Source organism: Homo sapiens, chromosome 1 (assembly GCF_000001405.40).
Source record: "Homo sapiens chromosome 1, GRCh38.p14 Primary Assembly".
NCBI classification, from domain to species: Eukaryota; Metazoa; Chordata; class Mammalia; order Primates; family Hominidae; genus Homo; species Homo sapiens.
This window is the reverse complement of record NC_000001.11, coordinates 225,823,302-225,844,644: the sequence shown is the minus strand read 5'-3', so window position 1 is coordinate 225,844,644 and position 21,343 is coordinate 225,823,302. Positions and strand designations below refer to the sequence as shown.

The window sequence follows — 21,343 nt, the reverse complement described above, 5'->3', positions numbered from 1 at the left end:
TCTCGGCTCAGCCAGGCTCACCGCTCATGCTTCTGGGTCATCCAGCCCTGTCCCAGGTTCTCCTTGTAGAAGCGCTGGGAGGAGATGATGGTGCCTGTTGTCCAGTAGAGCATGACGTTGGTCAGCAGGTCGTCCAGGGAGAACTTCCTGGGAACGCAGAACACAAAGCCCCACTCTCAGTGCCACATGCAGTTGTGTGACAAAGGGCAGCCAGAAAGTCCTACAAATGCCAGGCCCTGCCCATGCGGCTTCCCTCCTCAGACCTCATGCAACGTGTGTGGTATCCTCGTGTCACAGGCAGGCTGCGCCCAGGGCACTAGACTGGAGCGCATGGATTTAGTTGAAGTGTCTCTTATCACCCCAAGGTCCTCCCCCCACCCACCTTGCCTCTACACACCTGTCCCCTCTCTCCTGCCACTGACCTCTCCTCCCTCCCCTCAACCCCTGCACCGTGAAACTGCTCAGGGCACCAGCTACTGTGGTGACCACATACCAGGCAGCATGTTCTAAGCTCCTTACCTTCTTTTAATTCATGTTTTCCTCTCAACAGCCTATGGGACATAGGTACTATTATCTCCATTTTACTTATTAAGTGGAGAATCCAAACCTAGCCAGCTTGGGTCCAGGATGCATACTCCACAGCCCCCACCCCACCTTCCACTTTCCCCAGAGCACGCCCTCCCAACCCTACCTTCCTCACTCAAACCCTGAATCTCTAGCAACAGCAGCAGGGAGCAGGGACAGAGATAAAGGGAACAGCCTTTTCAATGTGATTTTGGTGGCAAAATGAAAACTGGTCAATGAAAACTAGTTCCAGTATACACATCACCTCTGTGAACTGGATTTCTGCAAGTTGGCCAAGTGCTTCCATCTCCCTTTCAGCTCTGCCCGCAGCTTGAAAACGACCACGACCACCATTTCCACCCTAGTGTATTCCTGTTCTTTCTAGAACACAGATCTGATCCTGTCTACCTCCTGCTCAGGGATTTGGTGCTCCCTGTAACCCGGGGCCAGAGCTGCAGGAGTGGCCTAGTGGGATAGTCTGGTGGGGCCTCACATCTTGCTCCAGGTATCCGTGTGCAAGGAGCAGGCCAGACCCCCTGCCAAGGTGGTCTTGCAGAAGCTCCATCAACCCCTGTGTCCTGCTGAATGTAGGGCAGGGGAAACAGATCCCAGACGAAGGCCCTGCTGAGGCTCTTGGAGGAGGTGAGGACCTGCCTGCAGGAATGAGTTTGCTTTTGATCTGGCCCCAGTGTACCTGCTTCAGCCTCTGGACAAGCCACCCTTTCCAAGCACCCTTTCCTTGCATTTTTATTGCTTTTCTCTTTGCCTAAGTTTCTCTCCTCCATCCAGCAAACTCCTACTTATCCTCCAAGGCCCAAATCAGATACATTCTCCTGGTCATTTCCCCTCTCTGCCGCTTAGACAAAGAATCCTCCTTCCACTGGACTCTCACAGTCCTTTGCGCATTCATTCAACATCTATGTACTGGGCTCTCCCACTGTTCACCCGGCATTGTTCTAGGTGATGGGGCTACAGCATGGCCAAGACAGAGTCCCTACCCCCAAGGCAGGATTCAGTCTCATTTTACTGTCTTTCCCATCCCCAGCACTGTCTGGTCCTGTGTGTCACTGAAGGAATAAAGGGATGGGCCCTGGAAAGGGTGGGTCAGAGCTGACCTTGGTGAAGCCTGAGTCAGGCCACAGAGCTGGGAGTCAGGCATGTAGAGGATACAGCCTCTAAGGCTCTGAGAGATTAACAGCCTCCTGTCTTTCTGCGACCACCCTCCTGGAACACGCAGTCACGTGACCCTGATGCCAGGCTCTCCAGGGAATCAGGAGGAAAAGCCCAGGTGCTCTTGACAATAATGTGGTGCCTGCTGCCCTGTGGGCTCCCTAATCCCCAGAGGGGCCTGTTCAGCAAAAGGAGCACAAGCAGGTGAGCCTGCATCCTAGTCTTGACCATGCACTGTGAGGCTGGGAACAACCCACCAGGCCACCTCACCCAAAAAATGCAGCTACGTTGGTCACAGGGTGAGGATTTGTAAGAAAGCCAACAATAGAATTTGCTGAGTGCCCCATGCAGAGCAACCAGACAAGGGGATGAAGAGGGTGAGGAGGTTGGCTGCTGGGACCAGGGTCATGACTGCAGGGGCAAACCAGGGCCTCACCTTTCCAGGCCTCCATCCTCCAGGTATCGGAATTCCGTATTGGTCCAGGTGGAAAACTTCTCTAGAATATAGGCAGCCAGACCCACAGGAGAGTCATTCAGAGCAGAGCCTGGCGGGGAGCGGGGAGCAAGGGAGAGACTCAGGCCTGGGGACCAGAGAGCTGGAGCTTCAGGTGTGATGTGTGGCACTGGCCGCAGAGGGCGGGGCTGTGTGCAGGAAGCCACGTTCGAGCACAGGCCTGCCTTAACTCCTGGGTGCTCACATGCCTCGCTTCCTTAACTCTGCCTCGGCATCCTCATCTGATAAACAGGGACGATACCTTCCCACTGTCTCCCAGGGCCTGGCACACTGCCTGCTCAGCTTCCTTCAAACTGAAGGGCCTACGCCTCTGCATTTGGTGGGGTCCCAATGAGAAGTGCTGTTTTTAAAAAGGCGGGGTTTTTCAGTCTATGTGCTCTGATTCATGAAAAATGAGAAGCCACCTAAAAAAGTCTAAAATAGGGGATCAGTTACAAATATTGATATACTCATAAGCCAAAATACTGTACAGTCATTAAAAATGGCTGGAACAGGCTGGGGGCATTGGCTCATGCCTGTAATCCCAGCACTTTGGGAGGGTGAGAAAGGTGGATCACCTGCGGTAAGGAGTTCGAGACTATCCTGGCTGACATGGTGAAACCCCATCTCTATTAAAAATACAAAAAAATTAGCAGGGCATGGTGGTGCATGCCTGTAATCCCAGCTACTTGGGAGGCTGAGGCAGGCAAATTGCTTGAACCCGGGAGGTGGAGGTTGCAGTGAGCCGAGATCGTACCACTGCACTCTAGCCTGGGCAACAGAGCAAGACTCTGTCTCAAAAAAAAAAAAAAAAAAGGCTGGGACAGTGGGACAGGCTGGGTGCGGTGGCTCACACCTGTAATCCCAGCACTTTGGGAGGCCGAGGCGGGTGGATCACCTGAGGTCAGGAGTTCGAGACCAGCCTGGCCAACATGGTAAAACCCCGTCTCTACTAAAAATACAAAACATTAGCCAGGCATGGTGGCAGGTGCCTGTAATCCCAGCTACTTGGGAGGCTGAGGCAGGAGAATTGCTTGAACCTGGGAGGCGGAGGTTGCAGTGAGCTGAGATCACACCACTGCACTCTACCCTGGGCAACAGAGCCAGACTGGGTCTTGAGAAAAAATAAATAAATAAAGCTGGGACAATGGCATAAATGAATCTCACAAACATAATATTGAGCAAAAGAAGCCAGACTCAAGGGTATATACTCTGTGATTCTATTCATAGGACTTAAACAGGCACAATCAAAACCATCTCAGTCAGAAGTCAGAGCGTGGTACCTGGGAGAGAACCCCGAGGGGCATCTGGAGTGTTGGGGCCATGTTGGTGATATGGACGTACTTCACTTGTGAAAATTCTCACCAAAATGTTCACAAGTTCTTTTGAAGGAGAGGGGATGTGGGGAGGGAGAAGAGGTTATATGAGATTGTCTTTAATGTTTTGTACTTTTTGCATTTTTAAGCTTTTTGACAACATGTATTTTATAATCAGAGAAAAATGCTGACTTTTATAAAGTGCCATTATTATGATTATGAGCTGCCTCGTGTGTGTGGGCATGGGTTTGCCATGAAAACTATGAAGAACTTTGAGATGGGCAAGACAATTCCTGGGTGTCTTCTGGACAAGATCTAGGGAGTTACCTAGCAGACCTTCCGGACTGACGTGATGCTACAGGGGTCCCATCTTTCCTTGTCATTGAGCTATTTTACAGTTCTGTGAATTGTAAAGAACTGAGGGTAATGCGAATGACTCTTGTTCATAGAGGCAAATGAATTTTGTCCCATGGAGATTTAATTGATATTACTCTGTGGATGTTGACAAGTTTTGTGTCTGTTAGCAAATTAATTTCAGTGTTCTTATTTGTCTTTGAATTGTTTCTTTTTAAAATTTTACTGGTTCCTTTATAAATTTACCTTTTTGAAAAAGTATTGTCCTTTAACAGGACCCTGGTGGCAGACATGGTTGCTGGGCCCTCCCTCACTGCCTGGGAACCTCTTCCCCAAGGCCCCAGGGCACCCTCTCCCCTCTCCCCTGCAGCCCCAGAGCTGCCCACTCCCAGGATTCCTCCTACCTCACCCCCTCCATCCCTCTGCTTCTCAGTGTAGGATATAGACTCAGGGGTGGGAGATCAGGGGTGAAAGCCACTATGAATACTGAGTCGGCTAAACAGAGTTGCTAAATTGGCCTGGGAATCTGCTGAGGGTCCATCCTCTTGATTCTATGGGAAAATGCAGTTTAAAGATCTAAAGAGCTGGGAGGTCCTTACAAGAGGCTTCCTTCTGTGGGCAGCATTGGGGTGGGGTGGTGAGGTTACCCCGCGGGTGTCTCCCTGCCCCAGTGGAGCCGGCAGTGGGCGAGGACCCCTGAGCACACTCACCTACGGTGTCAGGCTTGGTGCACTGGATGTGCATGTAGCCGCTCTCCCTCATCAGGCTGTAGAATACCTTCTCCTTGACGGGGTACAGCAGCTCCACATCCCTCTCAGTGAGGCCAAGAAACCTCCCGAAACGCTGTCCCAGGAGGAGGGTCAGGGTAGAGAAGTTGCTTAAAACCAAAGCCATGTTCAAGTGCAGGCCTTTCACGTGGCTGAAGGCAGAGAGAGGGGCCGGGGTGAGGCTGGGCTGGTGTCAAGGACAGGGAGAGAGGAGAGATGGCGGAGGAACAGGCCTCAGGGCTGAGGAGCGAGCACAGAGCCAGCCTCTTTCAGCACTGGCCCCACTGGGGAGGCCATGGGAGTTGGAGAAGGGAGGTTGGGGGAAAAATACAGTTTCTGGGGAGTTCTGCTCAGGGCTATCCCAGAGCTTGGTCCAGCAGAGAGGTCTAATGCCTGACCTTCCCCTCCTATCACAGGCCTTCTCTGCCTGGGAACCTGACCCAGAGCCGCAACCCTGGGTTACAGACAGGAGGATCCAAGTCAACGTGCCTCAGGCACTGCTGAGTGACAGGTCACACTCCCTCCTCTCCCCTGGGGGGTCCTTGGCCCACCCTGCACACAGGTCCACTTCTTAGAGGACACACACACACACACACACACACACACACACACACCACCCCAACAGTGACCTCACCTGGGCACCAGCTGGGCCATATTAGTGCAGATCAGGGACCCCCAGTCCCCTCCTTGAATGTAGAATTCCTGGAAGCCCAGCCGCAGCATCAGCTTGTAAAAGATCCTGGCGGTGGCCACCGAGTTGAACCCTGGCAGTGATGGGGAAAGGCATGGAGTCACGGAGTCACAGGCAGATTGCTCCTTGGGCCCTCTGGTGTTCTATGAAATTTCTCAGGCCCGCCTACCCCCAGGTGGAGGTCAGAAAAGCTCACAGAGGCAAGAAGGAATCCTGGAGCCCAAATATAGGGGTGGCATCTCCAGCCCCGGAGGGCGGTGTGTCTGGGGCCGGCCTCTCAGGCCCCTCCTTTCCCAGCTTCCTCGGGCCAACTCCCTGCTCACCCCGCCGGAAGGAGAGCCTGGTGGGAACACCGGGCCCACCCTTGGCGAGGACGGGGCAGTTATGGAACCTCTAGCAGCCCCGTACCCTTCTTGGAGGATGCCTCTGAGAAGCCATAGCCAGGGATGGAAGGGCAGATGACTTCAAAAACGTGCTCATCGCTCAGGCCATGGTTCTTGGGGTCAGTCAGGAGTGGGATGATCTTATAAAACTCGTAGAAAGAGCCGGGCCAGCCGTGCACCATCAGCAAGGGCTTCGGGGTATGGCCTGCGGGCAGCTGGGGGGGCTTCACGTGGATGAAGTGGATGTCCAGCCCTGGGGGGACAGAGCACAGTCAGGGTGGAGGGAGAGAGAAGACCCTGCACGGTCAGGCTCTGGCACCCCCCAGAGCCTAGATATTGAGTCCTGCCACCCTTAGTGCCCCCGCCGCCCCTTCATGGTATTGACAGTAATAAGGGCTGACACTGGTTTCACACTCACACTGTGCTCCAGGTGCACAGATGTCCTCACTCAGCCTTCACAACCTCCCTGCAAGGGAGCTACGATTATTGCCTCCCGGTTTCCTTAGAGGTGCCCCCTGACAGCTGGGCCAGGTCTGTACAGCCACTGCTGGGTTTCCAGGGCTCAGGACAGCTCCTGGCTCACAGCAGGCCTCCATAAATACTTGTTCAATAATTTAAAATCTGGAGGGTAGGGAGAAAGCCCCACGTATCCAGCAATACAGGATTAATCAAGTATAGTTTGACAGTATACTGGAGTCCAGTACAGTCATCTAAACTGACAAGGTAGATGTATATTTATTTAACATAGAAAACTGATCAGAAGATATTGCTGGGAGGTAAAAGCAAATGATCAAGTCATATCCATTGTGTGACCCAGTTTTTATAAAAAGTCATCTATGCTTATACTGTACTTATACTATGTATTGGTGAATTTTAAAAGTCTGGGAGGATAAACTCCAAGAATGTAAAAAGCAGTTCTCCTGAGCAGTAGATTCCAGTGCTTTTAATTTCTCTTTGAGTTTTATGTACTTTCCAATTTTTCTACAATGAACAGGTATTAAATGCATAATTTTTTTCATACACATTGACAAAATGTCACCTTTTTCTGATTACCAAATGATATTTTCTTTAAAGTGGAGTATTTTTGGGCCTGGTGTGGTGGCTCACGCCTGTAATCCCAGCACTTTGGAAGGCTGAGGCGGGTGGATCACCTAAGGTCAGGAGCTCAAGACCAGCCTGGCCAACATGGTGAAACCCCGTCTCTACTAAAAATACAAAAAAATTACCCGGGCATGCTGACAGGCGCCTGCAATTCCAGCTACTCGGGAGGCTGAGGCAAGAGAATCGCTTGAACCTGGGAAGCAGAGGTTGCACTGAGCCGAGATCACACCACCACACTCCAGCCTGGGCAACAGAGCAAGACTCCATCTCAAAAAATTAAAATAAAATAAAGTGGAAGATTTTTTTTTAAGTGCAATGCTGAAAACATCATCATAGCCAAGGGCAGGTGAATGGATTCTTGTCTCCTCTGGACTGACTTGGGGCCTCTGCATATCAAAAGAAGGCAGCCCCTTCCCAGGCCAGTGCCCTGGACAGCACCTGGGGCCTTACGGCATTCACAGTGAGGGCGGCTGCCATGCTTGGAACTCTCTGCCACCAGGGCTGGTGCAGTCAGCATGGTCTAGCTAATGTTCTGTTCTGTCGTTAATATATTATACAAATAATACATGTTTACTGTAGAAAACTTAGAAAACACAGATAAGCCAAAGGGGGAAGACTCACATGTAATCCCACTCTCTAAAGAAAACATGGTGTTGTCTGTCTAAACTTTATTTTGGAACAGTTTTAGATTGCTGAAAAACTGCAAAGAATCCAGAAAACTCCCATATACCTCACACCCACCGGGTTTCCTCCATTATTAATATTTTATGTTAGCATGGTACATTTATTACAATTAACGAACCAGACTGAGATATTATTAACTATAAAGTCCATTGATTTCCTTAGTGTTTACACTTTTTATTATATGGCGAGAACACTTAATATGGGTCCTACCCTTTTAACAGATTGTAAGTGTCCAACACTGACGGCGCTCTGCTGTACAGCCCATCTCTAGGATGTATTCGGCTGGCAGGACTCAAACTTTACACAGCAACGATCAGCAATGCCGTTTCCCCTATTCCCCAGCCCCTGACAACCACCCTTCTCCTCTCTGCTTCTGCTGAGTTTGACTATTTCAGATTCCTTCTATAGGTGGAATCATGCGGTATTTGTCCTGTCCCTGGCTTACTTCACTTAGCATTATTTCCTCAGAGTTTATTCATGTTGTCACACATTGCAGGATTTCCTTTTTTTTTCTTCTTCTTTTAGAGATGAGGTCTCACTGTGTTGCCCAGGCTGAAGTGCAGTGGCACAATCACGGCTCACTGCAGCCTCAACCTCCCAGGCTCAAGTGATCCTCCCACCTCAGCCTCTCAAGTAGCTGGGACTACAGGTGGGCAACACCATGTCTAGCCTATTTTTGTTATTTTTTTTTGTAGAGAAGGGGTCTCGCTATGTTGCCCAGGCTGGTCTCAAACTACTGGGCTCAAGCCATCCTCCCACCTTGGCCTCTCAAAGTGTTGGGATTACTGGCGTGAGCCACCACACCCGGCCAGGATTTTCTCCTTTTTAAAACCTGGATAATGCTGGTATCTACACACAACAAAATATGAGCCAGATTTCCTCAGTTTTTCCCCTGATATCCATTTTCTGTTCCAGGATCCCATCCAGGACTCACACACCACTGAGCTGTCATGTCTCTTTAGACCCTTCTTGGCTGTGACAGTTCAAACTTTTTAAAAAGACTTAGAGAACATAACTTTTAACAAAAATAGAACCATACATACATTCTATTTTAGAATCTCTTTTTTTTTAACTTAACAATGTATCCTGGGTGTCCTCCTATGTTGCCAAATTTACTCCTATTCTAAAGGACCAAGGCCAAGAACAGGCCTCCAGCCCCGGGCAGGGTGCCAGAACCACACATGGGTAAGTCCACGATGAATTCAATGCTGGAAACTGGCTCTTTTGGAGCCGTTGTACCTGAGGGAGGTTTTGTACCATAAATGCCCAATGTCAGCTGGGTGTGGTGGCTCACACCTATAATCCTGATACTTTGGGAAGCCAAGGTGGGAGAATTGCTTGAGCCCAGGAGTTTGCGATCAGCCTGGGTGACATGGTGAGACCTTGTCTCTACTAAAAATGTAAAAAAAAAAAAAAAGGAAAGAAAAAACAAAGGCCGGGTGCCGTGGCTCATACCTGTAATCCCAGCACTTTGGGAGGCTGAGGCAGGTGGATCACGAGGTCAGGCGATCAAGATCATCCTGGCTAACACGGTGAAACCCCGTCTCTACTAAAAATACAAAAAATTAGCTGGGCATGGTGGCGGGCGCCTGTAGTCCCAGCTACTCGGGAGGCTGAGGCAGGAGAATGGCGTGAACCTGGGAGGCGGAGCTTGCAGTGAGTCGAGATTGCGTCACTGCACTCCAGCCTGGGTGACAGAGCGAGACTCCGTCTCAAGAAAAAAAAAAAAAAAAAAAAAAGCCTAGTGTGGTGGTGCATACCTGTGGTCCCAGCTACTTGAGAGGCTGAGGTGGGAGGATCGCTTGAGCTCAGGAAATTGAGGCTGCAATGAACTGTGATCACACCACTGCACTCCAGCCTGGCTGACAGAGTGAGACCCTGTCTCTAAAAAAAACCCAGTCTCATGAAGAACCCTGAAAGGGTCCAGTGGGGTAAGGCTGGCAGCTGCCAGGATGGAAAGGGCCCTTTACTGCCTCCTGCCTCTGGGCCTTTGAACATGCTGTTCCCCTTTCTTGGACCACCTTCCCCACACACCTGGCAAAGTCCCACTCATTTCAGCTTAGATGCCACCTCCTCCAGGAAGCCTTCCCTCACATTCAAAGGAAGATTGTGGGGCTCATGAAGCTCCCAGAGCCTCCTCCTTCAGAACACCGCCACTATGTGCTGGAATTGCCCCTGAAGAGCCTATGAGCTGTGAAGGAGGGACCCTGTCCTCTCTATGCGTCCCCAGCCCCAGCAGAATGCCTGGGTACAGCAGGCGCCCTGTTAGTTTCTGCTGGATGGACACTGAAGAGCTGGGACAACACAGGGATCCAAGTCAAACTCAAGGAAGCCAGGCAATTTCGTGCCAGGAATCCAAACAGGAACCTATGGTAATTGCATACAGCAGTTTGGCTGGGATTAAGTGGCTTGGATCCTCTTGTTAGGCTCATAATAGAAGATATCAAATTACTGTAAAGAATACAGCAACACTCAAGAGAAGTCCAAATTTGATCCAAAAAATCATTCCAGATTTTTTTTTTTTTTTTTTTTAGTGTTCTTGGCTGAGCTCCAGGATGGGCTCTAGTTCCAGGACACACACCACTGGGATTTGACTTAGCTTTTCTCTGGCTCATTCTCCCACAGGCCTGGCCTGCTTGCATCAGAACAAGGATGTTTGCTGCCCTGGCACCTCCAAGTCGAGGTTTCCGTCCATCCTTCCTTTCTCCCTTTTTTTTTGAGATGGAGTCTTGCTCTGTTGCCAGGCTGGAGTGCAGTGGCGCGATCTCGGCTCACTGCAACCTCCGCCTCCCTGGTTCAAGCAATTCTTTTGCCTCAGCCTCCCGAGTAGCTGGAACTACAGGCACGTGCCACCATGCCCAGCTAATTTTTGTATTTTTAGTAGAGACGGGGTTTCACCATGTTGGCCAGGATGGTCTCGATCTCTTGACCTTGGGATCCACCCGCCTCGGCCTCCCACAGTGCTAGGATTACAGGTGTGAGCCACCGCACCCGGCTTTTTTTTTTTTTCTTTTTTTTTTTTTTGAGACAGAGTCTTGCCCTGTCACCCAGGCTGGAGTGCAGTGGCGCAATCTGGGCTCACTGCAAGCTCCGCCTTCCGGGTTCACGCTATTCTTCTGCCTCAGCCTCCCAAGTAGCTGGGACCACAGGCGCCTGCCACCACGCCCGGCTAATTTTTTGTATTTTTAGTAGAGACGGGGTTTCACCAAGTTAGACCAGGATGGTCTCGATCTCCTGACCTTGTGATCTGCCCGCCTTGACCTCCCAAAGTGCTGGGATTACAGGCGTGAGCCACGGCGCCCAGCCTGTTTTTTTTTTTTTTTTTTAAAGACAGAGTCTCATTCTGTCGCCCAGGCTGGAGTGCAGTGGTGTGATCTCAGCTCACCACAAGCTCCATCTCCTGGGTTCACGCCATTCTCCTGCCTCATCCTCCCGAGTAGCTGGGACTACAGGCACCCGCCACCACACCTGGCTAATTTTTTGTATTTTTATTAGAGACAGGATTTCACCGTGTTAGCTACGATGGTCTCAACCTCCTGACCTCGTGATCCACCTGCCTCAGCCTCCCAAAGTGCTGGGATTACAGGCGTGCGCCACCGTGCCCAGCCTCTCTCTCTTTTTTTAAGAGATGGGGTCTTGATCTGTCACCCAGTGCAGTGGTGTCCTTGTAGCTCACTGCAGCCTTGAATTCCTGGGCTCAAGCAATCCTCCTGCCTCAGCCTCCTGAGTAGCTGGGACTACAGGTGCATGCCACCACACCCAGTTAACACTATAATTTCAATTTCCTTTTTTTAGGAACTTTAGTTTATCTGACTGACCAACATGTCTTTCATACACTTTAAGTAATTCCTAGAATTTTAACAAATTAAAATCTTCACTGTTCCTTGAAAAGGCCAAATTATCTTAAAACATTAAAAATAAGATTCCTAACATGTACAATTTCTTCAATATAAAAAATTAACAAGCTGGGCACAGTGGTGCTCGCCTATAGTACCAGCTATTCAGGAGGTCTGAGGCGAGAGGATTGCTTGAGCCCAGGAGTTCGAGGCTGTGGTGAGCCATGATCACGCCTGTGAATAGCCGCTGCACTCCAGCCTGAGCAACACAGCAAGACCTTGTCTCTGAAAAAGATTAATTGTATGGCAACCCACAGAGTGGGAGAAAACATTTGCAAATATAAGAGATTTTATTCAGAATATATAGAGAACTCCTAAACCCTAATAAAACACCCAAAAAATGGACAAAAGACATGAACAGACATTTCTTCGGAGAAATTACAAAGAATCCAATAAGTACCGCATAAAAAATGCTCAACATCAGTAATCATTAGGAAAATGCAACTCAAAACCACAATGTGATACCATTTCATACCCATTAGGATGACCATTACCGAAAAAAAGAAAGGAAAAAAATATTGGCAAGGATTTGGAGAATCGGGATTCTGAGGCATTGTTGGGTGGGAAAGTAAAATGGTGCAGCTGCTGCGGAACGCAGTATGGCGGTTCCTCAGAAAATTAAACGCAGAATTACCGTATGATCCAACAAGTCCACTTCTGAGTATAGATCCAAAAGAACTGAGAGCAGAGTCTTTTCTTTCTTTGAGATGGAGCCCAGGCTGGAGTGCAGTGGCGCGATCTTGGCTCACTGCAACCTCCGCCTCCTGGCTTCAAGCAATTCTCTGCTTCAGCCTCCAGAGTAGCTGGGATTACAGCTGCCTGCCAACACACCTGGCTATTTTTTGTATTTCTAGTAGAGATGGGATTTCACCATCTTGGCCAGGCTGCTTGAACTCTTGACCTCGTGATCTACCCACCTCAGCCTCCCAAAGTGCTGGGATTACAGTTCTGAGCCACCCCACTTGGCCTGGGTCTAAATCTCATCTCCATCCTTCCTCTCAAAGATTGCCACATCATTGGACTGGATGGTGCATTTCTTTGGTTTTTAAATTGCATGTATGTGTTCCTGCCTAGCTCTAAAGATGGACAGATTTGTTGTGACTGCAATATTTTTGCATTTAGTAAGGTTACAACGTATAAGTACATCTCAGTCACCTATAATTGGGTTCTGAATCTCTCCAACTTTATCTGACTGTAAGTCACATTGTGGAAGAAGGCTGTTCTCATGACATACATCCCTCTCTGGCTGGCGTTTTGCAAACATACCTTCAATCTTAGTCTTGAAGTGAGGGTATCTGTTGAGAATCTCCACCTGCTTCTTCCAGTCAAATTCATTCCGCCAGTAGGAGATGACTTTCTTCAGGTAGTTGGAGTTGAAGCCATAGTGGAAGCAGCTGTCCTCCAAAGGTGGGGTGAAACGGAACTTATCGATCCTCTGGTGTAAGTCCTGGAGCAAAATTCAGGACCCCAAGTTGAGAGGGATGGGAAGGACAGAGCACAAGAGCAAAGTCTGTTTCCAGAAAACACAGCAAACCCTGCAGCCACAAGATACTGCCCTCTGGGAGTGGCAAGGCAGTTTCCCACATCACTGGCTACTCCCAAAGCGGATGTGTTCTTCACTTCTTCCTTCTTCACTGTAGACTTCGCATTTCTTTTTTCTTTTTTCTTTTTTTTTTTTTGAGATAGGGTCTCACTCTGTTGCCCAGGCTGGAGGGCAGTGGCGTGATCTCGGCCCACTGCAACCCCCACCTCCCAGGTTCAAGCCAGTCATGCCTCAGCTCCCAGAGTAGCTGGGATTACAGGTGTGAGCCACCATGTCCGGCTAATTTTTGCATTTTTAGTAGAGACGGGGTTTTGCCATGTTGGCCAGGCTGGTCTTGAACTCCTGGCTTCAAGTGATCTGTCTGCCTTGGCCTCCCAAAGTGGTGGGATTACAGGTGTAAGCCACTGCGCCCAGCTCATCTTTTACTCTTTAAGTGTATACACGATACTCATCTTTAATTTACCCAGGCGTCTCTACAGCGGGAGTCGGCAAACTTTTTCTGTAAAGGGCCAGATAGTAAATATTCTAGGCTTTGCAGGCTGCAGTGACTCCACTGTCTTCATAGTGTGAAAGCAGCCACAGCCAATGCACAGATGAATGGGGGTGGCTGTGTTCCAATAAAACTTTATTTATGGACAGCCATAGCCAATGCACAGATGAATGGGGGTGGCTGTGTTCCAATAAAAATTTATGGACACTGAAATCTGACTGCTATATAATTTTCACGTCACAAACTATTATTCTTCTTTTGATTTTTTTCCCCCTAACTATTTAAAGAGGTAAACACTATTCTTGGCATGGGCGCTGTGCTAAAACAGGTAGCAGGCTACATTTGGTCTATGGGCCTGGTTTCCTGACCCCTGATATACAACATTGAATGATACATTATAACTGAGTTGGGATAAAAATTACAGGCCAGGCCCAGCACGGTGGTTCACGCCTGTAATCCCAGTGCTTTGGGAGGCCAAGGCAGGTGGATCACTTGAAGTCAGGAGTTCGAGACCAGCCTGGCCAACATGGCGAAACCCCATCTCTACTAAAAATACAAAAATTAGCCAGGCATGGTGACAGGTGCCTGTAATGCCAGCTACTTGGGAGGCTGAGGCAGGAGAATCGCTTGAACCCAGGAGGCGGAGGTTGCAGTGAGCCAAGATCGCACCACTGCACCCCAGCCTGGTGACAGAGCAAGACCCTGTCTCCAAAAACTAAAAAATTTACAGACCAGGAGAGAGGGTGCAAGTCTCATTGGCATGTATTAGGCTAAAAGGCCAGCCCCAGAGGGAGGAAGTTCATGTCAGCTTAGAGAGCCTCTCAAGCATCACCATTCCCAGGCTTCTTCCCAAGTGTTTCAGTTACCCCCAAACAGATTTTGGAAATCTCAGACTCCCTTAGGAGTCTAATTCCCTAAAGGAGCTTTCCTTAGGGCTCAGCCTTGGCCCTAAATAGCAAGGCTGCAGCAAGCAAGTCCTACCCAGGGAGCCTCAGCCTGGTTGCTCTTGGGTTTAGCCCAGCTTCTGCTTTTAAATCTCTTCCTCCTTGGAACTCTCATGACTTTTATCCATGCTTTTTGTGACATTTATCCTTATGCATCTGTTTCTTTTTTTGAGATGGCATTTCACTCTTGTTGCCCAGGCTAGAGTGCAGTGGTGTGATCTTGGCTCACTGCAGCCTCTGCCTCCTGGGTTCAAGGGATTCTCCTGCCTCAGCCTCCCGAGTAGCTGGGATTATTATAGGTGCCCGCCACTATGCCCGGCTAATTTTTTGTATTTTTAGTAGAGACGGGGTTTCACGATGTTGGCCAGGCTGGTCTTGAACTCCTGACCTCAGGTGATCCACCGCCTCAGCCTCCTAAAGTGCTGGGATTAAAAGCGTGAGCCACCGCACCTAGCCTATCTTTATTTATCTTTTAGTCTACTTTTCTTTGTGCACATTCCTTTTCTCATTCACTGGACTGTATGCTGTTGGACGGAAGGGGCTGTCTCTTCTCCCAAGCACTCACTGGGCCTGCACACAGTAGGTGCTCAAAACCCACGGAATGAAAGAAAGGATTGGCAGGGCCATGCCAGGCCTGCCTACCGTCCTGTCCCCCACTCAAGCCTTGCTCCTCCCCGAGAATGCATTCTCAGTTCACCCCACCTGCCCAGTCACCTCCTTCCTGACTCTATCCCTGTGCAGAGGAGGGGCAGCAGCTTCAGGATTAGATTGGACTTCAAATCCTTCCGCATGTTAGCTAGGCCGCCTTGAACGAGTTGCTTTATGCCCCTGAGCTTCAGCTTCTGCATCTGCAGTTTGGGAACAACAATCCTCACCCCGCGGGATCACCGTAGGGATTGAATGTGACCAGGAATGGCTGACACACAGCCGGTGCCTAACCAGTAGCATCCCTGCCTTCTCAGTGCTTCCTGGGTCTCTGACGGGAACCTGCTCACTTTCTCCCACAACCTCACTCCCAAGGCTTCAGGCAGGGCATAGAGGAGGTGATGACAGCTGCTTTCTGTGACCTTTGATACAGGTTACCCCATCTCCTGCCTGAGCACTGCTGGGCCTTGGGTAGGGAAAGGAGAAGAGAGAAAGTGGGAGGGCTGGGCATCCCTCTCCAAAGCAACCTGCACCTGCCCAGCAGAGGAAAAGCAGACTGAAACACACTCCCAAGTAGGATGGACCATTCCCAAGCCCCCGTCCCCTCCCGCATCTGGCCTAAGACCCAACCCCTGTCTTCGACACACCACCCTCTCCACTGCCCAGCCCGGCCCGGCCCAAGGTGCCTTACGTGGATCTCCTCATCTGACGTTTCCACCTTGAAAGGGCGGATGCTGTCGTCCTCCCTGGCTGCGGACCTCGTGCCTGGCCCCCACCACCCATCTTCAAGTGGCAAAGTTTCCTCTTTGTCCCGGGAGATGAACCAGTAGATGGCAAAGCCCAGCACTGAAGTGAGGAGGATTTCTAGCCACATGGCTCCTGCAAGATGAGGGGAAGCCATTAACAACGGAGCCCGCCCAGCCCGGCCCTGACAGCCCAGAGACTCTGATCCCCAGCAGGCTCTTTCCTGCTGCGCTCCAACCCTGTCCCTGATTTTATTTACACTTGACCTAATATATACATATTATATATATATATACACACACTATATACATATTATATATAGTATAAATATTATATATATATGATCTAGAAAAATGGAAAAACAACAGACAATGAGACAAAATCACCCACAATCCTACTAAGCTTTGAAAACTGTTCATCATCCTGGGAAAATAGGAACCTGGTTTGGCTTCTGCACAGCCCTGGGTAGGGGGTTTTGGGAGCTACATTTCTGAGGCCTCATGTTGTTTTTTTTTTTGAGATGGAGTTTCACTGTGTCACCAGGCTGGAGTGCAGTGGCACAATCTCAGCTCATTGCAACCTTTGCCTCCCAGGTTCCCACCATTCTCCTGCCTCAGCCTCCCGAGTAGCTGGGACTACAGGCACGTGCCACCACACCCAGCTAATTTTTGTATTTTTAGTAGAGATGGGGTTTCACCATGTTAGCCAGGATGGTCTCAATCTCTTGACCTCGTGATCCGCCCGCCTCGGCCTCCCAAAGTGCTGGGATTACAGGTGTGAGCCACGGCGCCCGACAGCCTCATGTTTTTTGCATGTCTGAGAAGGCTTCTGTCCATGACCTCTGGGTTCCCTCCCCCAGGGGAGAGGAGCACCTTTCCTGAATGGTGGCCCACAGCCCCTGCTCTGTCCTTCTTGGAGAGAGGCTTATCCTCAGGGCAGACGGGGTAATGGGGAGGCCCAAGTGCTGGGAGAGTAAGTTCAATTTGGGGTTGGGGGACACTGCTAGGAAGCCCAGCCATGGCCACACAGCTTAGCTGTGTAAGAGCTTTATTGAAACATAATTCATATACCATACAATTCGCCCATTTAAAGTGAACCCTCCAGTGGTTTCTAGGATATTCACAGACATGTGCAGCCATAGCCACAGTCAACTGTAGAACATTTTCATCGGCACGGAGAAACTCCATACCCTTCAGCTGTCGCTCCCCTACTGCCCTCCACGTTAGGTCCTAAGCAGCCTCTAATCTACTTTCTGTGTCCATAGTGTTGCCTGTTACATTTCACATCAACTCAGTTGTCTTTTAATCCCCATTTGTCTGACTCCTGTGTCTTTTTTGATCAGAAGAGGAAGAAACCATAGTCTTGGCAAAGCACTATCAGGCAGATACCAGCCCAGCATTGTTATCTAGCTCTTCATCTTCCTCATTCCTAGGGAAGTAACCCATAGACTGTTCTTGTTCAGAGTAACCTGCATGAATATGCGGGCCGTCCTTATGCCTGAGTCAGAGGAGGGTCTCTAGATGCACTGCAGTTAGGACCCAGACGGAGGAGAAAGCATCGAGTTCTGACAAGGCCCCTGCAAACCACGCCCCAGCAGCGCCCCTCGCTCTGTCTTGGAAACCCAAGGCAGGAGGTGGTCCCTGCTGGGAACCCCACCACTTGCATGTCCTCCATTGGCTACATGTCAGATGTTTGGGACTCTGCTGGGGGGTTGCAGAGGCCCTGGAGTTTGCTCCTGTCAAGAGCTGCCCCTCTAAACCTAGAATTGGGCTACTGGGGGTCGTTCTATGAAATACTTGTCCACAGTGGTCCAGCGATAGAGCTCCAAACAGAAATCCACCCAGGGCGATGGCTCTCGCCTTATTCCTGCAGTTCTGTAGGAAATCTAATCAGGAAAATCAGCTTGGCACCCCCCACCTCCGCGTTTCTATCAGTGATCCCAGTGAACTCCCAGCTTCCCACCCTCAGGCCCTAGAGTCATCTCCAATTCTTTCCCCACAGCCCATCACCAAGTCCTCATGCCATCAGATTCAGCCCCCTGTGTGCCTCGCCCCCTCCCCTGGACCAGAGCCCTTATCACCCCACATGTGATTATGGAGACAGCTTTCAAGAGAGGAAACCCACAACCTCTTCTCTCATAGTCACCAGCATACTTCTTAGAACCGACTGCAGCCTTCGTCCTGGGAATCATGCCCAGGTGTCCACCCTTGAACTTCCAATCTATCTCCCTCTCTGGATTGTGAAACTCTAAAGTGCCTCAAGGTCTCACTGATCAACATTTACTCAGTCTACCATGTGCCAGGGGGCAGGCCTTCGCTATCCCTGCTGGAGACACGTGGGACACGTTGATGCATGTTCCATCTCCAGCCAAGCCAGGCCATTGCTTTCCCTTTTTTTTTTTTTTTTTTTTTTGAGACAGAGTCTCAAAGAGTGCAGTGGTGCGATCTCGGCTCACTGCAACTTCTGTCCCTGGGTTCAAGAGATTCTCGTGCCTCAGACTCCTGAGTAGCTGTGATTACAGGTGCATACCACCACCTCCTGCTAATTTTTGTATTTTTAGTAAAGACAGCGTTTCACCATGTTGGCCAGGCTGGTCTCAAACTCCTGACCTCCAGCGATCCGCCCACCTCGGCTTTCCAAAGTGATGAGATTAGAGGCACGAGCTGCTGTGCCTGGCCCTGTGGCTTTCATCTTTCAATCCCAAGCAGTAACAGTGCCTGGGCCCCAAGGACCCTATGTCAGCTGATCAGATGGGCAGCTGGGACCACACTCCCACAATAAAAACAAGGCAGGGAATACCTGGAAATGAGTTCCTCTTATTTAAGTAATTCAGAAAAGAAAAAACATGCATCAGCTTCTTTCATTTCCAGAAAGACGTTATGTCTCTGCCAGGAAATCCTGCCCTTTAAGAAGATGGAGAAAAGTCAGCTAAAAGCCCCTGCGGTATTGAAAGCAGGACTAGGGGTTAGGGACTGGGAGACACATGGGAGCGTGTGGGAGGCAGCCGAAGGCAGAGAGCAGAGCTTCCCCCAGCAACAGGAGCAGCTGAACACACTTCACTGGGCAGGCAGATCCTACCACAATAAACCATAGCTTGGGAAGGCAGGGCTGTGCCCGTCCTGGGCACTGCCTTGACCCACAGTGCCCAGCACTGGTGACTGGCCCAGCACAGCGAAGAGCTCCACCAATATTTTATGCACTAGAAGCTAGTAAGACACATTTTGCATGATGTTGTCAAGGAGGCTGCGAGCATAATATTAGAACAATAAAGAGGGATCACCCTCCCCAGTGAACTTTACAAACCACCCTCCTTACCTGTACCTCAGCACAGGGAGAAGCACTGCTGTCGCTTCCCTCTAGGATATAAATGTGCAACTTTCCCCTTTCTGGGCAGAAAGATCCCAGTGCTTTCACCTGTCCACCAGGCTCCACGTTCTCACCCTCTGATTACTCCTTGGGAAAGAGAGCTGTGGAGCTCTGCACCTGGCGATGCTCTAAGGGCCTGTGAGAGAGGCAGGGCAGGCTGCAGGCACTGGCCCCCACTCCCCACGGCCTTCTGACAATTGCACAGTCCTGCCAAGTCAGCCAATCTCATGTGTGCACAGCGTGGTTATCTCCCCTGGACTCTGCACAGCAAACTGAACCACGCTGACCTGAGAGATACAGGGCTGAAATGATCAGTGCTCGAGTCCCATCTAAAAGAAGGGAATCTGGGACAAGGGGCATTATGATGGCCCCCACCAGCACTACCAGGTGTATCACCCAGGAAGAGGAGGGCAAAGTGACAGATTCAAAGAGAATTTTAAAAACACGATCTCTTGCATTCTAATTAAGATAACAAGAATATTAGTACTTGCTTGGCTCAAGGATGGTGCCTTACAGCCACTGATCTCAGATTACAAATAGGCTCTACTGCAGTGTGTTACTTTGCCACCTAGTAACAGCCCTTTATTTAATAGCAGGTGGTTAATGCACCAAAGAAAAGTGTTCTTGATTAGCCTGGTGTGACAGCAGGTGTTGACTGTGTGGGGGTGGGTTTCCAACCCCGCTGCCGCCTTGCGCTCCCACATGAACAGTCCTTCTTCTTGCTGCAGGCAATATTCACTTCCACCAGCCCAAGCCCAAGGAGCCCACCCTGGGGAGGACGGAGGGGGTCACCACGGCTCCACACCCCCCCGTCTGCTTTGTCGGAGAGCTGGCCAGGCAGAGTGGCGCCCTCTTGACTGAGCCTCAAACCTTTGCTTTCCTCTTACTCCAAATAAAGCCGCCTGGCGAAGGAGCTCGGAGGCCTGATGGCAGCCTGCTGGGCGCTTGACAATTCCTAGACCCTGGTAAATGTAATCCATGGTACATGCAAATCCACCCACTAAAGAGCCACAACTCATCAAACTTGACTTTCCTTTTCACTTATTTAAGGCAAGAATCGGAGTAGGCAAGGGGCTTAGCCTAAATCACACTGCAGTTGTGAGGATTAGAATCTGTGGCCACAGCACTCACTCCTGGTCTGTCACTGGGTGTGTTGCACCCCAACTCCCCTTCTTGTTCCCTCTCAGCACCTGTTTGCAGCCTTGAGTCTTCAGGCCAGAAGGGACTCCTAGGGCACAGACGTCTCCCAGGCCTGCATAGCTTTTCTCAAAAAATGTAATAATAAGAAACAACACCCTCCCCTATCTGGTGGGTCAGCCAGTCCTGGGAAGGACTGCGGGGGCGGCGGGGGTGGGCGGTCTTAGAGTCTGACCAATGAGTCCAGGCACCCACTCTCTATCTGCCTAACCCTGCCCACACATTCTGCTGCAGTTCGAGACAGGGAGAATTGCAGATGCCCACCGCCCAGGCAGGGAGGATCTAGAGAGTGCCAGGCACCCAGCAGGCTGTCCTCAGGCCTCTGGGCTCCCTCGCCAGGGCTGCGGCTTTATGTGGAGTAAGGGGAAAGCAAAGGCTCGAGGCTCAGTCAAGAGGGCACCACTCTGCCTGGCCAGATCTCCGACAAAGCATGGGGGTGTGGAGCCGTGGAGACTCCCTCTGTCCTCCCCAGGGTGGACTTCTTGGGGTTGGGCTGGTGAAAGCGAACATCGCCCAGAGTGAGAAGGACTGCTCACGCAGGAACCCAAGGCGGCAGAGGACCTGGGGTGGGCTGGGGAGGGGGTGGCACTAAGCAGATGAGAACCCTCCCCTCCCTCTCATGGCCTCCCTCTCTCATGGCCACCCAGCACTCAAGAGGACAGAGCAGGGCTGCATCACCCCTACATCCACCGGGTGGGCCAGTTGATAAGTCACTGCCACTGGGCATGGAAGCTGGAGAGGAACTCAGCAGCCTCGAGTCCAAACCCCTGCTCTACAGCCAGGGAAAGAGGGGGCCGAGTGACTGAGTCTGGGGAAGCTTGATGGCCAACTTGGGTGATGCCATTTAAGGAGCCAGCCTGGGTTTCCCGGAGACTCCCCATCCCATGGCTCCCTGCAAAACAGCAACTCTGACAACCTTTGACTTTAGAAATGAAAACATCTTGGAGGTTACAATACGAGGGCTTTGGCCCAGTGTGGTAGCTCATGACTGTAAT

At 50.5% G+C, this 21,343-nt stretch overlaps 2 protein-coding genes across 16 annotated transcripts in view, besides 3 other annotated features; one reads left to right on the top strand and one right to left on the bottom strand.

Moving 5' to 3' along the window:
* The window catches only part of TMEM63A (transmembrane protein 63A), a 41,825-nt gene extending 37,736 nt beyond the window's left edge, over positions 1-4,089 (top strand). For both annotated transcript variants that reach the window (XR_007065257.1, XR_949163.4), the window contains one exon: positions 3,458-4,089. The gene's annotated coding sequence lies outside the window, so the exon portion shown is untranslated. The remainder of the gene's footprint in view (positions 1-3,457) is intronic.
* Positions 1-21,343, bottom strand: part of EPHX1 (epoxide hydrolase 1) — a 35,440-nt gene that overhangs the window by 919 nt on the left and 13,178 nt on the right. For 3 of the 14 annotated variants that reach the window (NM_001291163.2, NM_001378426.1, NM_001136018.4), the window contains 7 exons: positions 15,733-15,920; positions 12,686-12,866; positions 5,764-5,991; positions 5,299-5,428; positions 4,608-4,816; positions 2,171-2,279; positions 22-147 (listed from right to left, as the gene is read on the bottom strand). In NM_001291163.2, the coding sequence (NP_001278092.1) occupies positions 22-147; positions 2,171-2,279; positions 4,608-4,816; positions 5,299-5,428; positions 5,764-5,991; positions 12,686-12,866; positions 15,733-15,915 (1,166 nt within the window). In that variant the 5' untranslated portion in view covers positions 15,916-15,920. Of the gene's footprint in view, positions 1-21; positions 148-2,170; positions 2,280-4,607; positions 4,817-5,298; positions 5,429-5,763; positions 5,992-12,685; positions 12,867-15,732; positions 15,921-19,100; positions 19,292-20,341; positions 20,435-21,343 lie in introns of those variants that run through there. The other 11 variants (NR_165627.1, NM_001378427.1, NM_000120.4 and 8 more) reach the window with 11 other exon arrangements.
* Positions 16,224-17,077: an enhancer, noted in NCBI's record as "H3K4me1 hESC enhancer chr1:226015269-226016122 (GRCh37/hg19 assembly coordinates)". NCBI's record gives its function as "activates a minimal SCP1, AML or CMV promoter by ChIP-STARR-seq in naive H9 embryonic stem cells {active_cell/tissue: H9 hESC(naive)}" and the evidence as "EXISTENCE:reporter gene assay evidence [ECO:0000049][PMID:30033119]".
* Positions 19,087-19,763: an enhancer, noted in NCBI's record as "H3K4me1 hESC enhancer chr1:226012583-226013259 (GRCh37/hg19 assembly coordinates)". NCBI's record gives its function as "activates a minimal SCP1, AML or CMV promoter by ChIP-STARR-seq in naive H9 embryonic stem cells {active_cell/tissue: H9 hESC(naive)}" and the evidence as "EXISTENCE:reporter gene assay evidence [ECO:0000049][PMID:30033119]".
* Positions 19,254-19,440: a silencer, noted in NCBI's record as "fragment chr1:226012906-226013092 (GRCh37/hg19 assembly coordinates)". NCBI's record gives its function as "represses an EF-1alpha promoter that drives an FKBP-Casp9 reporter gene in an ReSE screen in K562 erythroleukemia cells {active_cell/tissue: K562}" and the evidence as "EXISTENCE:reporter gene assay evidence [ECO:0000049][PMID:32094911]".